This window comes from Homo sapiens, chromosome 2 (assembly GCF_000001405.40).
Source record: "Homo sapiens chromosome 2, GRCh38.p14 Primary Assembly".
In the NCBI taxonomy this organism is placed as follows: Eukaryota; Metazoa; Chordata; class Mammalia; order Primates; family Hominidae; genus Homo; species Homo sapiens.
The window spans coordinates 185,961,843-185,963,254 of record NC_000002.12 but is presented as its reverse complement, the minus strand read 5'-3'; positions in this window follow the sequence as shown (position 1 = coordinate 185,963,254).

Sequence of the window (1,412 nt, the reverse complement as noted above, 5' to 3'; positions counted from 1 at the left end):
CACGCACAGGGAAATCCATTCGGAGCCTTCCTCCCTCTGCATGGGGGAGCTGCTCTCTTCTTTTCTACCTATTAAACTTTCCTCTCCTTAACCCACCCACGTGTATCCGTGTCCTTAATCTTCTTGGTGTGAGATAATGAACTTCGGGTATTTTCCCAGACAACAAAGCCACTTCAATAGGTAGAAGGAACTCATTTGCAGGTAAGAATTTGGATGTGGGACTTAGGACTTCTGAGTTAATGCTGGAATGACTTAAGACTTTGTGGGGACGATTAAGAAGCGATGATTGTATTTTACAATATGAGAAGGTCATGAGAACTGGGAGGGGTGGGGAAGAATGAACTACTTTGGATATTTGTCCCTGCACAAATCTAATGTTGAATTGTAATTCTCAGTGTTGGAGGTGGGGCCTGGTGGGAGATAATTGGATCATGGGGGTGGATTTCTCATGAATAGTTCAACACCATCCCCTTGGTGCTTTCGTAGCAATAGTGCGTGAGTTCTCATGAGATCTGGTTGTTTAAAGCTGTGTGGCACCTTTCCCACCACTGTCTTTTGCTCCTGCTTTCACCATGTGATGTGCTTGCTCTCCCTTGCCTTCCACTATAATTGTAAGCTTCCTGAAGCCCTCCCAGAAGCTGATGTCAGAGCTCTGCTTCCTATACAGCCCATAGAACTGGAAGTCAATTAAACCTGTTTTCATTATAAATTACCCAGTCTCTGGTATTTCTTTGGAGCGATGTAAGAATGGTTTAATACACATGGTGTGTCTTTTCCATCCTTTTACTTCCAAGCTAACTATATAATTATATTTGAAGTAGTTTCCTTTAGACAACATATTGTTGGGTTATATTTATTTTGGTTGATTGGCTGGTTTTTGTTCAGTCTTCCCATCTGTAATTTAATTGTATTTGTAGCATTGATACTTAATGTTATTATTGTCAGGGCTTAAGTCTGTAACTTTATTTTTTGTTTTCTCACCGTTGTTTGCTCTCACTGTTGTTTGTTCCTGTGTTTTATTTTTTCTTGCCTTCCTGTGGATTACATGAACATTTTGTAGAGTTTTATTTTGATTGATCTATAGTGTTTTTGAGCATATCTTTTTGTATAGTATCTTTAGTGGTTGCTCTAGGTATAACATTATATACATATATAACTAATCAAAATCTACTGGTGTTGACATTTTACCTGTTGAAGTATAGAAACTTTACTGTCCATTACACTCCTTCTAAACATATAATATAGTTATCTGAAATATTCCTCTACATATATTGAGAGCCATCTTAGACAGTGTTATATATTTTGCTTCAACCATCAAACATAAAAACTATTGTATTTTCCATAATTTTGCTTCTGCCATTTTTTTCTTTTCTGTTGTTTTATTTCTCCTAGTATCATCCAATTTCTGTTTT